This window comes from Homo sapiens, chromosome 21, assembly GCF_000001405.40.
Source record: "Homo sapiens chromosome 21, GRCh38.p14 Primary Assembly".
Taxonomy (NCBI): domain Eukaryota; kingdom Metazoa; phylum Chordata; class Mammalia; order Primates; family Hominidae; genus Homo; species Homo sapiens.
Genome location: NC_000021.9, coordinates 36,759,691 through 36,776,069, shown reverse-complemented (window position 1 = coordinate 36,776,069; position 16,379 = coordinate 36,759,691). Strand labels below are relative to the sequence as shown.

The 16,379-nt window shown below is 47.0% G+C and overlaps 1 protein-coding gene across 14 annotated transcripts in view; it reads left to right on the top strand.

Annotated features, from left to right (window-relative positions):
* HLCS (holocarboxylase synthetase) overlaps positions 1-16,379 on the top strand; it is a 241,587-nt gene that overhangs the window by 214,142 nt on the left and 11,066 nt on the right. For all 14 annotated transcript variants that reach the window (NR_148021.1, NR_148020.2, XM_024452065.2 and 11 more), the window contains 3 exons: positions 8,785-8,852; positions 10,898-11,058; positions 16,229-16,343. Coding sequence is in view for 12 of the 14 variants with exons in the window: in XM_024452065.2 (XP_024307833.1) it covers positions 8,785-8,852; positions 10,898-11,058; positions 16,229-16,343 (344 nt within the window). In the remaining 2 variants the exon portion in view is untranslated. The remainder of the gene's footprint in view (positions 1-8,784; positions 8,853-10,897; positions 11,059-16,228; positions 16,344-16,379) is intronic.

Here is a 16,379-nt window from a genome sequence, read left to right as displayed (position 1 = left end):
TTTCTGGTTTGCTTGCTATGTGGCTTTATAGCAGTGGTTTTGCCTTTCTGAGACTGTGTCCTCTTGTCTGTGAGGAAGGACTTCTTCTCAGCTTTGGAAGGCTTGGATGAGATCACGAACCTAAAATGCCACTCATAGCACAAAAAATTGGTGTGAATTCCAGGTGACCAGTTGAAACATCTACCTGGTGCCTGCAGAAACACTGTTCGCAGACATCTGCTTGCTGTGTCGTCCACGTGAGTCGGTGTCCATCCTCTGAAATAGCGGCAGCACTTCCCAGTAGCAGACCCTCTTTAGGGGCAGGTGACTTATGGTCAAGGCTGTGGACACTCTCCACCAAGAGCCGCTCCACACCCAGTTGTAGAAAAATGGACATATTTATGAGATCTGAACAGCCTGAAAAGGGGGGTGAGAAGATCTTGTGGAGGATCCGGAGACTCCTGGCGGAGGAGTGGGGACAGATAGTCTGAGTACTGGTGTGCAGTGGCGCAGTGAAGGCTCGCCGTCAGAGGCAGGGATCTGCCATCAGGGCTACCGCTGAGGTACAGCCACAGAGGTGGCTGTGGGCACCATGAATATTTCTCTCTATGCAAGCTTCTTTGCTCATCTGTAAATTCTGTAATAGCACCAGTTTAAGATAGAAGGCAGTGGATGCGCAGGCATCTAGTATTTATGGTGAAGTGTCAGGGTAAGAAACAGTGGCTTGTATTCACTTTGATTGGATAATACAGACCAACATTAGTAAATGCTTGACTTACCAAAAAGGAGCCTCATTCTGAAAGCTGAATCCACTGGGCTCCTTGGGAGCCATGAAATGATTTATTTAGCAGCAATGTGGACGCTCTTATGCTGGACGTGGGGAAGATTAGCCAAAAACGTAAGAAGGGCAGGTATGCCAGGAGCTACGGAAATGAAGCGGGTGTCTCTAACAGAGGGCCTGACCCACAGGCATCTCTCTGCTTCTGGGGAGCTCCAGTGGGAGGATTGTGATGGCTCTGCTCTTTGAACAGTCCCGATTCCCGTGTTGCCTCCTACTGAAACATTCATCCTGTTCTACACCAAGAGCGGAAAGGGGATATGATTTAAAGCATACCAACAGAGTGCATTGAGGAAAGGGCAGGCCGTAGTGTCAAATCCAGAATAGAATGGAAGAATATATCAATAAAACTGTTCTATTATCTGCCTGGGCACACCTCTGACCAACAGTGTTTCTAAGCAGTCACCTAAACAAAGTCAGCCGAAGAGCCAGTTCAACCAACTATGTGTAGCTTTGCTGAGTAGGTTCAGAGACCCTAGAACTGGAAGTGAAGATTCTGCATCCCCCATTGCTAGTGTCACTTACAAGGTTTTTAGCCCAGATAGAGATCACCTTAGTGTGTGTAGGTAGAAGTGATGAGGGATGGGTACAGAGAGGAGAGGCATCACGTATAGAATTTTTGAGGAGTCGTAAAACACACACATTTGTCCCCACCATTCCATTCCTTCCCTCTGTCTCCCTGACTTCCCTCCTTATCCCCAAGAGGAGGAGGTAAGGGGAGGCGCTGCTTGTCTTCTGGCAGCAAGAAGTTCTAGGATCGACATGACAGGGACCACTTTGCAAATTCCATCATATTTCATTTTTACTGACACTGCACAAAATGTTCCATTTTATAGGTGACTGGAGAGACTGAGAGAGATGGATTCCCTTACTCCATGTTCATATCAACACTGGGATTCGAGTCCAGATCTGTCCCGTTCCCTGTCTGAGTCTCCACTCTGCTGTGATGTTTCTAAAGTTCCTTGGGAACCTTCCTGTAGCTGCCAGGAATAATATCCCCAGGGTCCCTGGCTAGGACCCTGCAGTGTCCTGGGGCAGCCACCTCAGCTTTGTGCCGTGGACCCTGCCGCCAGTTCAGAAGTCACCTGTCAGAAGTCGGGCCTCTTCTGCCCCTGACTGTGTCCCCATGCGTTGCACAGCTGTCTCATGGGCCTCACTCCATTTTACGGTGGAGGCGTTTTTTAGCAGAAACCACTGTTCATTTCCTTTCAAAAAACAATCTTGTGCATTCCTGCCTAGAAAGTAGCTTAAAAAAAATCAATCGTATTGTTAAAGTGTGACTTTAACAAAAATGAAATATCTTGATATTTTAGCGTTTTAACTTTTTAGAAAGTGCTACTCAGATGTAATGGTTGGTTTTTACAATGTAATATGTGTTAAAAGTAGTTCTGAAATGAAGTTCGGCACTGCTTCCTTTGAACTAAGCAGAGGGCAGCAGGGTTATGAACAGTGGGAATTCATCTTCCAGTCAGCTTTTTTAAAATGAAAAATAACTTATGAACCTTCAATGTGTGACTGCCTGGGGCCCCCTTCTCCCTCTTCCTCGCCACCTCCCATTGGCTTTCTTTTTCACTCATGAGAGTGTGTGTCTCTCTGTAAGCTAAGAACAGGGTCAGAGCTGAGAAAACTGGGGGGTAAAGAAGATAGCAAAGAGAAGCACAGACTGGTGTCAGGCCAGGACCATGAGCTGAGGAAGCCCTCCAGGCCCGAGGGAGACTTCGAGGTCGCCTCACACCCACCCCATGCCAGACTGCTGCAGGGCACGATGCCTCAGACTTAGGAGGGTTTGGGGTGTGTTTTCCAGAGAAAGACTTTACAACATCTTTTAGAAAGGGAGGCCAGTCTGAGGTACAGCCCAGCTTCCAGAGGCCAGCTGCTCCCAGTGGCAGACTGCCAGCCCTCCGTGGCCTTGGCCTGTGCGGCAGGGAATGAGCCACGGGACAGGTATGGCAGCCTGGGAAAGCTGCCTGCACTTGGCCGCCCTTTCTTTGCCAATCTGTGCTGGAAAGGAGATTGCTCCACCAACTAGTGAACTGGCAGCTGCAAGCTTAATCCACTGATAGGTTGGGCTTAAATAAATCTTTTTTTAATAGGATTTATAAAATGAATGCACTACAATTATAAAAATATTGGAAAATTCAGTAAAGTATAAGAGAGAAATAAAAATCACTTGAAATCTTACCACCCAGAGATTATATAGAACAACATAAAGGAGACATTTAAATCATCATATAATTCTACTTCCACACTTCCACCTTTTTTTTTTTTTTTTTGAGATGGAGTCTTGTTCTGTCACCTGGCTGGAGTGCAGTGGGACAATCTTGGCTCACTGCAACCTCTGCCTCCCAGGTTCAAGCCATTTTCCTGCCTCAGCCTCTCGAGTAGCTGGGACTACAGGTGCGCGCCACCATGCCCAGCTAATTTCTGTATTTTTAGTGAGACAGGTTTCACTCTGTTGGCCAGGATGGTCTCGATCTCTTGACCTCGTGATCTGCCCGCCTTGGCCTCCCAAAGTGTTGGGATTACAGGCGTGAACCAACACGCCCGGCCTCTTCCACCTTCTTGAGATAACCACTGTTAATATGTGTCCTTCTTTTTTTTTTTTTTTTTTTTTGAGACAGTGTCTTGCTCTGTTGCCCAGGCTGGAGTGCAGTGGCATGATCTTTGCTCACTGCAGCCTTGAACTCCCTGCCTCAAGTGATCCTCCCATCTCAGCCTCCCAAGTAGCTGGAACCACAGGCATGTACCTCCATGCCTGGCTAAATTTTTGTATTTTTTGATAGACATGGGGTTTTGCCATGTGGCCTAAGCTGCTCTTGAACTCCTGGGCTCAAGTGATCCACCCACCTCAGCCTCCCAAAGTGCTGGGATTACAAGCATGAGCCACTGAGCCTGGCCCCTGTATTTTTCTATAAATACATATCGTATATAAAGAGAATCATTCTACGATACTGTTTTTAACCTTCTTTTTCACTTTTTAACAATATAATGTCTATAATTATATATCTACATCATTGTAAGAGCTCCAAAATAAAAAATTTTTAATTATCAGAAAAATACTTTGTAAAATATATCTGTGTTTTCTAAAAAGAGAGAAATTCTAAAAGAATATACACTTTTAATGAGAAGTGGGACTTACCTAGATGACTTATGTTCTACTTAATATTTTTCTATATTTTTCAAATATGTTCACTCCCCAAGGTAACTGCAGCTATTATTTTGGTATATTTCCTAATAATTTTTGTTTTTTTTTTTTGAGTTGGAGTCTCTATGTTGCCTAGGCTGGAGTGCAGTGGTGTGATCTCAGCTGACTGCAGCCTCCGCCCCCTGGGTTCAAGTGATTCTCCTGCCTCAATCTCCCACATAGCTGGGATTACAGGCACCCGCCACCACACCCGGCTAATTTTTTGTATTTTTAATAGAGATGGGGTTTCACCATGTTGGCCAGCTGGTCCCGAACTCCTGACCTCAAGTGATCTGCCCGTCTCGGCCTCCCAAAGTGCTGGGATTATAGGCGTGAGCCACCGCGCCCGGCCATAATTTTTAAAAGCATACTTCAAAACATGATTGGACTCACGCTGTCTGTAGGATTTTGCATCCTGATTAAATCACCTAAAAGTGTCCGGTGGTCATCTGCCCACATTACTGATGACCACATGATGGGCTTTCATGTGGGACTGCTGTGGGTTTTTTAATTCTTCAACAGTGGGCTGTTTGGATTATTTCTGATTTTTCACACTGCATCAGTAATGCTGTGGTGAACAGTTGAGCCCCTGAATTATTTTGTGTCCCTGTCTGAGTCCTCCTCAGGCTTCAATTCTGTAGAAATACAGTCCCCGGGTCAGGAAGTAAACCATGTTTAAGGCTATCACTGGGTCTGAACAGACTGGTTTCAAGAATTTCTGCTCACTTGTTAGTATCAGATAAGCTGCTCACTAGTTATAATGAAATGGGTACTGCAAATAACTATTGTTGATTGTCTTGTTTCTTTTTATTTTATTTTATATTTATTTATTTATTTATTTATTTATTTGAGACGGAGTCTCGCTCTGTCGCCCAGGCTGGAGTGCAGTGGTGCAACCTTGGCTCACTGCAATCTCTGCCTCCCGGGTTCACGCCATTCTCCTGCCTCAGCCTCCCGAGTAGCTGGGATTACAGGCACCCGCCACCATGCCCAGCTAATTTTTTTGTATTTTTAGTAGAGACGGGGTTTCACCGTGTTAGCCAGGATGGTCTTGATCTCCTGACCTCGTGATCCGCCTGCCTCGGCCTCGCAAAGTGCTGGGATTACAGGCGGGAACCACCACGCCCGGCCAATTGTCTTATTTCTTTTTAAAACGGACCTTTTGGTCTTATACTTAGAAGTTCTGTATTTATGAATAGTCAATTACAATATTATATCTAAATGTAAAAATATGCTTTTTTCCAAAAAAAATTCAAAATAAATTTTAAATCAAAAGGTTACCCAGCCTGGGCTCTACCAAACCCTGTCTCTACCAAAAAATACAAAAATTAGCCAGGTGTGGTGGTATGAACCCATAGTGGTCCCAGCTATTCAGGAAGTTGAGGTGGGAGGATCCCTTGAGCCCTGGAGGTCCAGGCTATAGTGAGTCACTGCACTCTAGCTGAGATGACAGAATAAGACCCCATCTCAAACGAAAAAAAAAAAGAAAGGTTACCCATCATATTAAAGTTTTAAAATAAAAGAAAAAAAATCTTAATATAGCCATCATTAACATTTTGTCTAATCTCCTTCCTGCCCTTTTTGAATTTTACATACTTGGAATAAAAGTATATGTAGTTTTTGGCCAGGCGTGGTGGCTTACACCTGTAATCCCAGCACTTTGGGAGGCTGAAGCAGGAGGATCGCTTGAGGCCAGGAGTTCAAGACCAGCCTGGCCAACATGATGAAACCTCGTCTCTACTAAAAATACAAAAATTTGTTGGGCATGGTGGTGCACACCTGTAATCCCAGCTATTCGGGAGGCTGAGGCAGGAGAATTGCTTAAACCTTGGAGATGGAGGTTGCAGTGACCCGAGATTCATGCCACTGCACTCTAGCCTGGGCGACAGAGTGAGACTGCATCTCAAAAAAAAAAAAAAAAAAAAAAGCATCTATAGTTTTGTATGCTGCTTTTTAATTTGACATACCAATGCAAGCCTTTCTTCCACGTTGCTATATAGTCTTCAGAACTATAATGATTTGATTACAAATTATTCCATTGACTTAATTTATCAGAATTTATTTAACCATTTGTTTATTAACAGTGAGGTTGTTTCCATATTTTTACCTTTATAACACTGTTGTGAATGTGGACTATTTTCTTAGGTTCAGATCCCCGAAGTGGATGGACTTGGTCTGAATTTACGTTTTTGTTCATTCGGATTTTTCATTAATTCATGCTGGCCTGTCTTAGGTTATTCCCAATCATTAAAGCTTAATCTTAAAGGACCATGTGACAATCAGGACAGTTCCATTGGCAGAGCCTCCGTGGCTACTGGGCTGTCCTTAGTAACCAAAGTGGTCAGGAGGCTGTCTCATTTGCAGAGTGACCCTTAGGAGGCTCCAAATGTTTCAGACTCAACACAAGAGTACAAAACAGAGCGCTTTTCCTGAGTGCCGCTTTGGTTCCACAGTGAATGCACTCGGCTGCCACTCACAGAAAGCTTTTATTCCACAACCTTTGCCAGCAAGGAAGGAAAATATACAGAAGCAGGGAGGTAATCATTATGGAACCCCCCTCCTTTTTGTTTTTCCTTTTTCTTTTTGTAAGGACATCATCCGCTAAGGATGGAAATGCATTTATGGTTTCTCCTTTCTGCTAAAGCAAACTCAAGCAGCTTCATTTTCAGAAATGCAGAATTGACAAGGTTTATAAATGCTGCTTTGTTGACTGTGAGCCATGCGGTTTGGCCCCAGAGTTATCTCAGATAGCACAAATAAATCTGGCGGCCTCCAGTTGTCTCAAACTGAGCATTAGCTCCTTCCCCGGTTGTCTCCCTCCTTGCAGAATTTCCTCTTGGCCTTCAGCACAGACTCCCTCTTCTCATTAATATGCCCTGTTAACTGCTGCCAAACCTCTAGCAGTTTAGTGCATATGTTCCCTTAATCATTTCTCTTTGTTCTAGAAGTCTGTGTTTGGTTTCTGAACCAACCTTTTTCCTGCCCCTCCCATCACTGTCCCTGGCTATAGCCCATGACTGTCTACCGTCTACATGTTTATTTACAGAACATCCTAGATTGCTTTTGCGATCTGCTCACAACACGCTAAATCATCCCCTCGGCCCCTGCCCCATCACCTCGAGAGCCCTGGGCCTTAGGAAGCCAGGTGGAGGGTTGCTGGACCCTCTAGAAAACAGAGGTGCCTGAAAGACAATGTTAACTCCCTGCACAGACAAAGACTCCTTCTTAGATTTTCTGCTGGTCCAACACAAGAAAAGGACGCTTTCTTCTTGGACCCAGTGGCATACAGCACACTCGATCTCAATGAGTTATTCATGGCGTCCAAGAGAAATACTTCTGAGCTGTATTTCATGTGAGATGGAGTGGGCCTGGCACATGGGCGGCGAGGCCAGCCTGCTCGCCGAAAGCGTCCTGTGCCTGTTCCAGCAGCCGTGTGGGAAGACAGCTATCTCAGCAGCTGAGCCCCTGCCCTGTGTGTCCTGAGGTCTTTTTAACACGTGAAGGGTCTTCTGGGCTCCTTCTGTCCCAACTGAGGCCTGCATGCGCCGTCAGACGGAGCTCTGTGAGCCATGGGTGCACAGTGGACACAGTGTTGTTTCTCTCTGCTTTTAAGTATTTTTCTTCTCTTACCGAGTTCCAGCCATTTGTAAAGTTCCACCCAGTTTCTGTAGCTGGGAGGGGAGGATGATAAGCTTCTCAGCGTGGTCTTTCTCTAGCGCTCCTTTGTCCTCAGCAGGACCACTGTGGAAGCCTGGAGACTTATTATTAGAAACTTTATGTTATTACAAAATGCCATCCCTTCCGCATCCCTGTCCTGGCTGCTCCCCTCCTTCCAAGAAAGAAAAGAAAAGAAAAAAATCAAAGAGGCCCCCTCATCTGCACTGACAAAGTGGCCAAACCTGATCTTTGCTCTGTTGATGAATCCTACCTCGAACCGCGCCTGCGCAGCACCTGATCGGCAATTCCTGGGCACGTAGAGAGGAACTGTCCTACCACGGGGTTAAAATAGGGAGAGCGCAGCTTGCAGGAAATTCTCAGAGTGGGAGTTTTTGTGTGATTTTTTTTTCTTTCCTTTTTTTGAAAAAAAGTTAATATCGACTCATTTGGTGGGGATGTAATGCCCTTTTCTACCTATCCCCCAAAGGAAAGTTTGTATTCTTTTCAATGAAACCATTTTAAAAGCAGGACTGAAGCCGAAAACGATGCAGAGTTCTCCTGCGTCCTCAGAAGGTGTGGATTTATTTACCATAGTTAAATCATAATTAGTTCTCAGGGGATAGTGTGTCTTTTAAACGGCTTTATTGCCACCATATTGGTTTTCTGAATAATCAGAAACTTCTGTTATGATTGTGTTCTAGTGTTCAAACAGAAGTGCACCCTAAGTAGGAACAAATGTCAGGAATTGCTAGTTGTCACTTGAAGAAGGTACATACATTGGGGGTGGGGGGAGAAAGAACTTGGCAGGATATTCTGATGAAATAGAATCTAACCAAGTCTTTAATAAATGGAGTAACGGCTCAGGCAGGTACACACGCCCCCTCGCATGCTCTTTTTTTGATGTTAAAAGGTGCTTTCTTCATCTCTTTCATTCTCACGACCCAGGTTAGAAAGGAGGGTGATATCCCTCATGGCTCCACATTCCTGAAGGCCAGTGGAACCAAAGTTGGCCCTTCCATGGCCACACACCCCCAGATGCATGCAAACCCTGTCCCTCCTGTGTGAGCCATTGGTGCCGCGGGCGTGTCCATGTCTGGCCTAACCGGTCTTTCCCCCTCTTCGGCAGGCTGATGTTTCAGACACCGCAGGAAATGGGCTTAATAGTGATCGCGGCCCGGCAGACCGAGGGCAAAGGTCAGTCATCTTTTGTGATCATTGCTGTTACTTCTGTTTTCTAAACTCTGCAACTCTTGTGGCCCAGGAGCCCATTGAATGTGTGTGCTGATCATCTGGGGGACTCAAGTTAGTAGATTCTGTTTTCATAACCGCCTGGAATGGAGGAAGAGGAAGAGGGAAGCAGTGATCAGAAGGTTCACCCTTAGTAGAACTAAAGCATTCTGTCAAATCATAATGCTTATGAATCACTGGACATTTGCCTGTGATGGCAAATGTGACCTACATGAATTCCGGGCTTTCCAATTTGGGGATCGTCACTGTGCTCTAGAGACGTTTATTTTCCTGAAGGTTCTCCATAAGGAGCCTTCTGTGTCTGTACTGAGCGTCATGTGGGAGGCCTTTTGCATGCCAGTTCTCACCCCAGCTGGCCCTGGGCTGGGCTTGCATGTACATGGTGGGCTCTGCATCAGTGCCCATTCACACAGTGACCACAGAGAAGCAGAGCGCTGCCCAGGGCTCCACCACCTGCAGATCCCGGAGACGAGAGCCCACATCCTCCCAGACCCATCTGGGGTCTGACCCTGTACAGGGGCTGCTCCACGGGGCTTGGCCCCTCCCTGCTCCAGCCAGTGCCAGGCTCACCCACATGTGCTTCTCACTCTCACAGCCTCTTATGACTTTTTCATAAGAACCAAAGAAATAAGAAATCTGCTGTTCTCCACTTCTTTCTCCTGAACCATGTCTTTCAAATATAATTCAAATGGAAAAAAAAAATGTTTTTGTCAAAAGCTATGGATCTCAATATGTGGATTTTTTTTTTGTTTTTTGAAAAAGACATTCAAGAAGAACTTTGATGAACTCTACCTCTCATTTGGATTCTTCTATTTTTCTAACTTCAATTTTAAGAAAAGTAGGCCAGGCATAGTGGCTCATGCCTATAATCCCACCACTTTGAGAGGCCAAGGCAGAAGATCACTTGAGCCCAGGAGTTCAAGACCAGCTGGGACAACTTAGCAAGACCCATCTCTTAAAAAAAATACAAAAATCAGCCGGGCATGGTGGTACTCACCTGTAGTCCCAACTACTTGGGAGCCTGAGGTGGGAGCATCACTTGAGCCCAGTGAGCTGTAATCACGCCACTGCATTCCAGCCTAGGCAACAGAGCAAGACCCTGTCTCAAAAATAAAAAGGAAGAAAGAAAGGAAGTAAAGAAAAATAACAACTCAGTTAATATCAGGAATCCCTTTTTAAACAGCTTTATTGAAATATAATTCCTCCATTTAAAGTGTGGCTGGGCGTGGTGGCTCATGCCTGTAATCCCAACACTTTGGGAGGCCGAGGCGGGCAGATAACTTGAAGTCAGGAGTTCAAGACCAGCCTGACCAACATGGTGAAACCCTGTCTCTACTAAAAATACAAAACTTACCTGGGAATGGTGGCGGGCACCTTAATCCCAGTTACTTGGGAGGCTGAGGCAGGAGAATCACTTGAACCCAGGAGGCAGAGGTTGCAGTGAGCTGAGATCACACGCACTGCACTCCAACCTGGGTGGCATAGTGAGACTCCATCTTAAAAAATAATAATAAAAATAAATAAAGTACACAGTTCTGTGGCTCTTATTTAATGGCATATTTGCTGGGCTGAGCAACCATCGCCACAATAGGAATTGCTTCTAAACAGTGGCTTCCAGGACCTCTCATGGATCAGTATAGATTCAGTTCAGTTTCCCAATGTCTGTGTTTGCCTTCATGACCATATGCTGGGAATTAAACCTATAGTCATATAGTCATGTTCAGACGCTGTAAGACTCTGAGTCATCAAGGCACAAATGATATGCTCACAGAAGCAGAACATTATGCTAATTATTGGAAACTTTTTCAGCAACAGAGCTTCAGATTTTAAAAAGCTTTTCTTTTATTAAGCCCAGAATATAATAAGCGTTGTAATACAATAAGCATTGTAATAAGTTCAGATTTATTTGAGTGTGTGGCCCTGGCATGACGTGTGTCTGCGTCTGTCCACGTGGCAAGGTAGCATGTTTCCCACTGTGGCCTGTGTTCCAGGACGGGGAGGGAATGTGTGGCTGAGCCCTGTGGGATGTGCTCTTTCTACTCTGCTCATCTCCATTCCACTGAGATCCCAGCTGGGACAGAGGATCCCGTTTGTCCAGCATCTGATGTCCGTGGCTGTCGTGGAAGCAGTGAGGTCCATTCCCGAGTATCAGGTAGGTACAGTTCAGTCTCCTTCTATGTCCCTGGGATGCATGCAGAATCTGGCTTATTCTTGTTTATAGCATGTGCTTGCATAATTGGTGGCTGTAGAACCTCAGCCTACCCTTTGCACAGCTGGCAGCAAAGTGCTCTCGGAGTTTTCAGAGCACCACCAGGTGCTAATGCTGCTTCAGGCTTGCCTGAATGCATTCATTCCCCAGAACTCCCTTTCTACCCAGTTTTTCAGATTTCTCAAACAGCCTGATGAGGGCAACGCTTTAGTTTTTGGTTTTTGTTGTTGTTTATTTATTTATTTTAATTGAGACAGGGTCTCACTCTGTCACCCACGCTGGAGTGCAGTGGCACTATCTCGGCTCACTGCAACCTCCACCTTCCAGTCTTAAGCAATCCTCACACCTCAGCCTCCCGAGTAGCTGGGACCATAGGTACACACCACCACCCCTGGCTCTTTTGTTGTATTTTTAGTAGAGATGGGGTTTCACCATGTGGCCCAGGCTGGTCTTGAAGTCCTGAGCTCAAGCAGTCTGCCTGCTTCAGCTTCCCAAAGTTCTGGGATTATAGGCATGAGCCACTGCACCTGGTCATGTTTACTTATGTATTTATTTTTTTGAGACAGAGTCTCACTTTGTCACCAAGCTGGAGTGCAGTGGCGCCATCTCGGCTCACTGCAATCTCCGCCTCCAGGGTTCAAGCAATTCCCCTGCCTCAGCCTCCTGAGTAGCTGGGACTACAGGTGTGCACCATCACACACAGCTAGTTTTTGTGTTGTTAGTAGAGATGGAGTTTCACCATGTTGGCCAGGATGGTCTCAATCTCTTGACCTTGTGATCCGCCCGCCTCAGCCTCCCAAAGTGTTGGGATTACAGGCGTGAGCCACCACGCCCAGCTGCATGTTTGTTTTTTGTTTGAAGCACTGGATGAGATTTGATTGTTGGACTGGATTGAAGTTGTTCATCTGCATTTTCTGTTGAAAAGGGTTATTTGGGGACCTAAAAACCTTTCTCATTTCCTACTTCTGTTTACCAGACTCTGTGCTCTAACAGAACTATCCTTTATCCACTGTTGACCACATACAATGTGCAGATCCACTTGGGGCCATCTTCCCCCAGCTATTAGGACCCGTGTGCCTGCTTCCTTATTACTGTTGGATGTTTTGTTGTCAGTTATTAAAAAGACAAGCAACAGGGAACAATTAGCTCAGTGACCGAAGCATTTTCTTCCCTACTTGGGCTTCACTTCCCATAGCCCCCTCCCAAATGTTCCTGGAAGAATTTCATATGGGTATAAATAGGAGATTCCTGCCTCCCTCCCCCAGCAGCTCCTATGTCAGGCTAAAGAGAAATGATTGGATTGATTCCTGAAGCAAGATGTTAAGAGCGTGACTCTCAAAGGAGACTTGGAGGTCCTGTCATCATTTCATTGAAGAAAAGGTCCTTCTCACTGCCCCTTAAATCCCTCTGTGATGTATTTGCTGTGTATGAATTTTTGGTATTCCACAGATGTAGTTAATGCTGACGTCTCTGTTTCCTGTATTACATCACATCGCTGAAACGGACGCTTACTACCAGGCACCCAGCATCCTTGCATATCTGATGGTTTGGGGGCATCACACCATTACAGGGCTTCAGGTGCCCGGCCTTGAGCACCTGAGCTGTGCATTCTGTCTAGCAGGAAGCAATCAAAATAGAAAGTCCTGGCCAGGCGCGGTGGCTCATGCCTGTAATCCCAGCACTTTGGGAGGTTGAGGAGGGCAGGAGTTTGAGACCAGCCTGGCCAACATGGTGAAACCCCATCTCTACTAAAAACACAAAAAGTAGCCAGACATGGTGATGGGTGCCTGTAATCTCAGCTACTCGGGAGGCTGAGGCACAAGAATCGCTTGAACTCGGGAGGCAGAGGTTGCGGTGAGCCGAGATTGTGCCATTGCACTCCAGCCTGGACGACAGAGTGAGACTCGTATCAAAAAAAGGAAGAAAGAAAGTCCTGTCATGGGAGAAATTAACTCTAGCAACAAGTTAGTCTTAGGAAAATAACTAAAACAAACACTAAGCCGAGAACATTAAATGAGTCTGTTTGGTCTGTTTAGCTTTTTCATGGCTCTGACTTTGACCTTGGAGCCCCACTAGTTCCCTTAGCGAGCATTCTTTGAGGGCCTGCTGTGCTCAGAGGCTGCGTGCGCCAGGCGCTGGAGGCCAGGATGGAAGTGGGAAGCTTGCCTTCAGCGGTGAACGGGGTCGGGGGAATTTGTGTTCCCGTTCTCCTTAAGAAGCTTGTACCAATGTTCTTTCCCTCTTCTGCAGTCAGCTACCCAGCCTCACCTGTGTGATGGGACATTTGATTTTGAATTGGGTTTCTTTTTTAACATAGTCAAGTTAGCTGACACAGTGCAGCTACTTTGATTGAAATAGGCCCCTGTTGTTTGGATTTCACTTTTTGTGTGGCCTTCACTAGGACCCCAACTGGTCCCTAACCAGATGTCACCGTCAGCACACAAATCATGACCACCCTCCCCAGACCCAAGGCGGCCTCGCTGGGATGCAGGCATTCCTTCCGGAACTCGCCTTGGGCCGCCCATTCTCACTCCTGCTCTTTCTTCTGTCCATGAAGTCCCCCCGGGCCCCGCACCCTCCCTCCACCCACACACCCCTACCCCTGCTCTCTTCTCTGCTTCTTAAAATTCTGTTCATCCTTAAGGCCCAGCTCCAGTGCCATTCTCAGACCCTCCAGCTACTTCCAGCTCTTTCCTCCAGCACTGTCCAGCACTTGCCATGTTGAAGCCTCTTTTAGGGTATCCACCACGTGTGGCTTTGAAGAGGAGTGATGTGTGCACCTGTTCCGTCTCCCATGATGTTAGCAGCTCTTCAAAAGCAGGATTTGTTTCATTTTGGTCTTTTTTTATGTGGGAGGATCACAGCAGCTGTTGGAATAAATGATTGAGAAAATGAAAAATGAGCACACAGTCCTCCTCTTCATGTGGAAATGCTGGTCCTGTTTACCTGCGTGAGAACCCAGAGTTTCATGAGCTGCTTCATGAGCCGAGGAGATCTGAAGCCATGAAGGCGAGCTGGAGCCCAAGTGCAGGGCCCGCCCAGGCACCAGCTGCCACGCACGTGGCGGAGGAGCTTGACAGCTCTGGGAACTCTGCAGGTGTCCTCCCGCCGGCGAGGCAGGGGCTCATTCCCCTGGCCATGTGGTGGGCACAGGGGGATGTGGGAAGGCGAGAGAGGGGAAGGAAAGGGAACTGGGGGCAGTGATGAAGAGCAGAGCCTCCTAGACACAGGTTTCCTAGAGGAGACTTTCTCAGCCCAGTGCTATTGATATGTGGGCCCTGGCATGTTTGTCGTGGGGATGTCCTGTGCCTTAAAGGATGTGTGTCAGCATTGCGGCCTCTACTCTCTAGACGCCGGTAGCACTCCCTCAGGCTGTGACAACCAGGGAAGTCTCCCAGTATCGCCAAATCCACCCCTCTCCCACTGAGAACCCCCGTTCTAGAGAGAAAAGAAACGTGAAGCTGTTGATCAGTTCTGGGTCATTGCGCACCCCCCATGCTTGGTTTACTTAGACTTTTTGTTCTCCTGTGCTCCTATTCCTGTATTTTTTCTCTCAGCCTAAACTACTGTTTTAGGGCAGATGAGCTTCCAATATGCTCTAACGGGCCGAAGTCAAAAGAAGGCCTGTTGGAAGGAGGAAGGGATTTCATGGAAGCAACAGGCCGCGTAGCATAGGATTCCTCACCCAGGCCTGGTGGCAGAAAGGTTTGAATTTTAGCTCCGTGGCTTTCAAGTGCTATAACCTCAGGCAAGCCACATAATTTCTCTAAGCTTCCGTTTCTCCCTCTGTTCCCTGGGGATGCGCTAGCACCAACACATAGGCTGGGTGTGAGTAACACGTAGACTAATGCTGAGAAGGTGCTTGGTGCCATGCCCGGCCTGCAACGTGGGAAGACCAGCCCCGTGGCCCTTGGAGGCCATCAGCTACTCTCTGCTCCCTTAGCTTTATTTTGCTGAATGTTCTCTTCCAGCCTTGCATCTCCAGACAGGCTTCCTTTACCCACACATGGCACAGCCTGGCTGCCAGCCCGAGGTCTAAAAGACCTGGTGGTTCTGACACCCACTCGGCTAGCCCCGTCTCTGTGTCCCAACTTCAGAGTCACAGTGGATAGGCAGAGGCCTGGGTGGCCTTGTTCGAGACACTGTCCAGTGTTGGTCCATTCTGTAAGCTGATGACAGGGAGAGCCCCCCCACCCCCAGGCCACACCATTCAAGACGCAGAGGCAATAGGCCACATGACAAGTCCAGTTCCATTACCCAAGATGACCATTAGCAGTTCTGCGAGGCTTTCGCTAAGGTGAATTTCTCCTCTGCATCTTCACAGCATTCTTTTTTTTTTTTTTTTGAGACAGAGTCTCGCCCTGTCACCTGGGCTGGAGTGCAGTGGCACGATCTCGGCTCGCTGCAACCTCCGCCTCCCGGGTTCGCACAATTCTCCTGCCTCAGCCTCTCAAGTAGCTGGGATTACAGATGCACACCACCACACCCAGCTAATTTTTTGTATTTTTAGCAGAGATGGGGTTTCACTATGTTGGCCAGACTGGTCTCGAACTCCTGACCTTGTGATCCGCCCGCCTCAGCCTCCCAAAGTGCTGGGATTACAGGTGTGAGCCAGCGCGCCTGGCCACTGCCTGCTACTCAAGACATTTCTACCTGCCTTTTGTGACCTTGGTTAATTCAGGGCCATCTTTGTCTCTCAAGCATGGGTTCCTGAAGGGAGACGCCCCCTGAGATTACTATTCTCTCCCCACCCTCTGGCCCTAGCACGTTAGTTAGCTACTCCATGGTGGTGGTGGTGGTGGATACTGACATAATGAACTTCATTTACAAGGTAAGCATCTTCAGAAAGGGTTTTGGATGATGAGAAACAGTGCTGGGGGATGGGGAAGAATGCTGGGGTTTATGTCAACTGTGTTCTTCAGGGCTTTTACCTCCTGGCCCCAAGAGGCACTTCAATATCGGATTGTCCCAAAGAAGTGATTAGCTGCCTGAAAAAGAGGAGAGGACGAGGCCCATGTTACCTTGGTTTCTGCTTATCTTCCCTTAGCTCAGTGACTTGCCTGGGCCCCTTGTGTCCTGTGACGGCTTAATTAATGTGCAGATTTCCCTTTAGGATATCAACTTACGAGTGAAGTGGCCCAACGATATTTATTACAGTGACCTCATGAAGATCGGCGGAGTTCTGGTTAACTCAACACTCATGGGAGAAACATTTTATATACTTATTGGTAAGTTTCAAAAACCTTTCCCCCAGCATTTTTAGA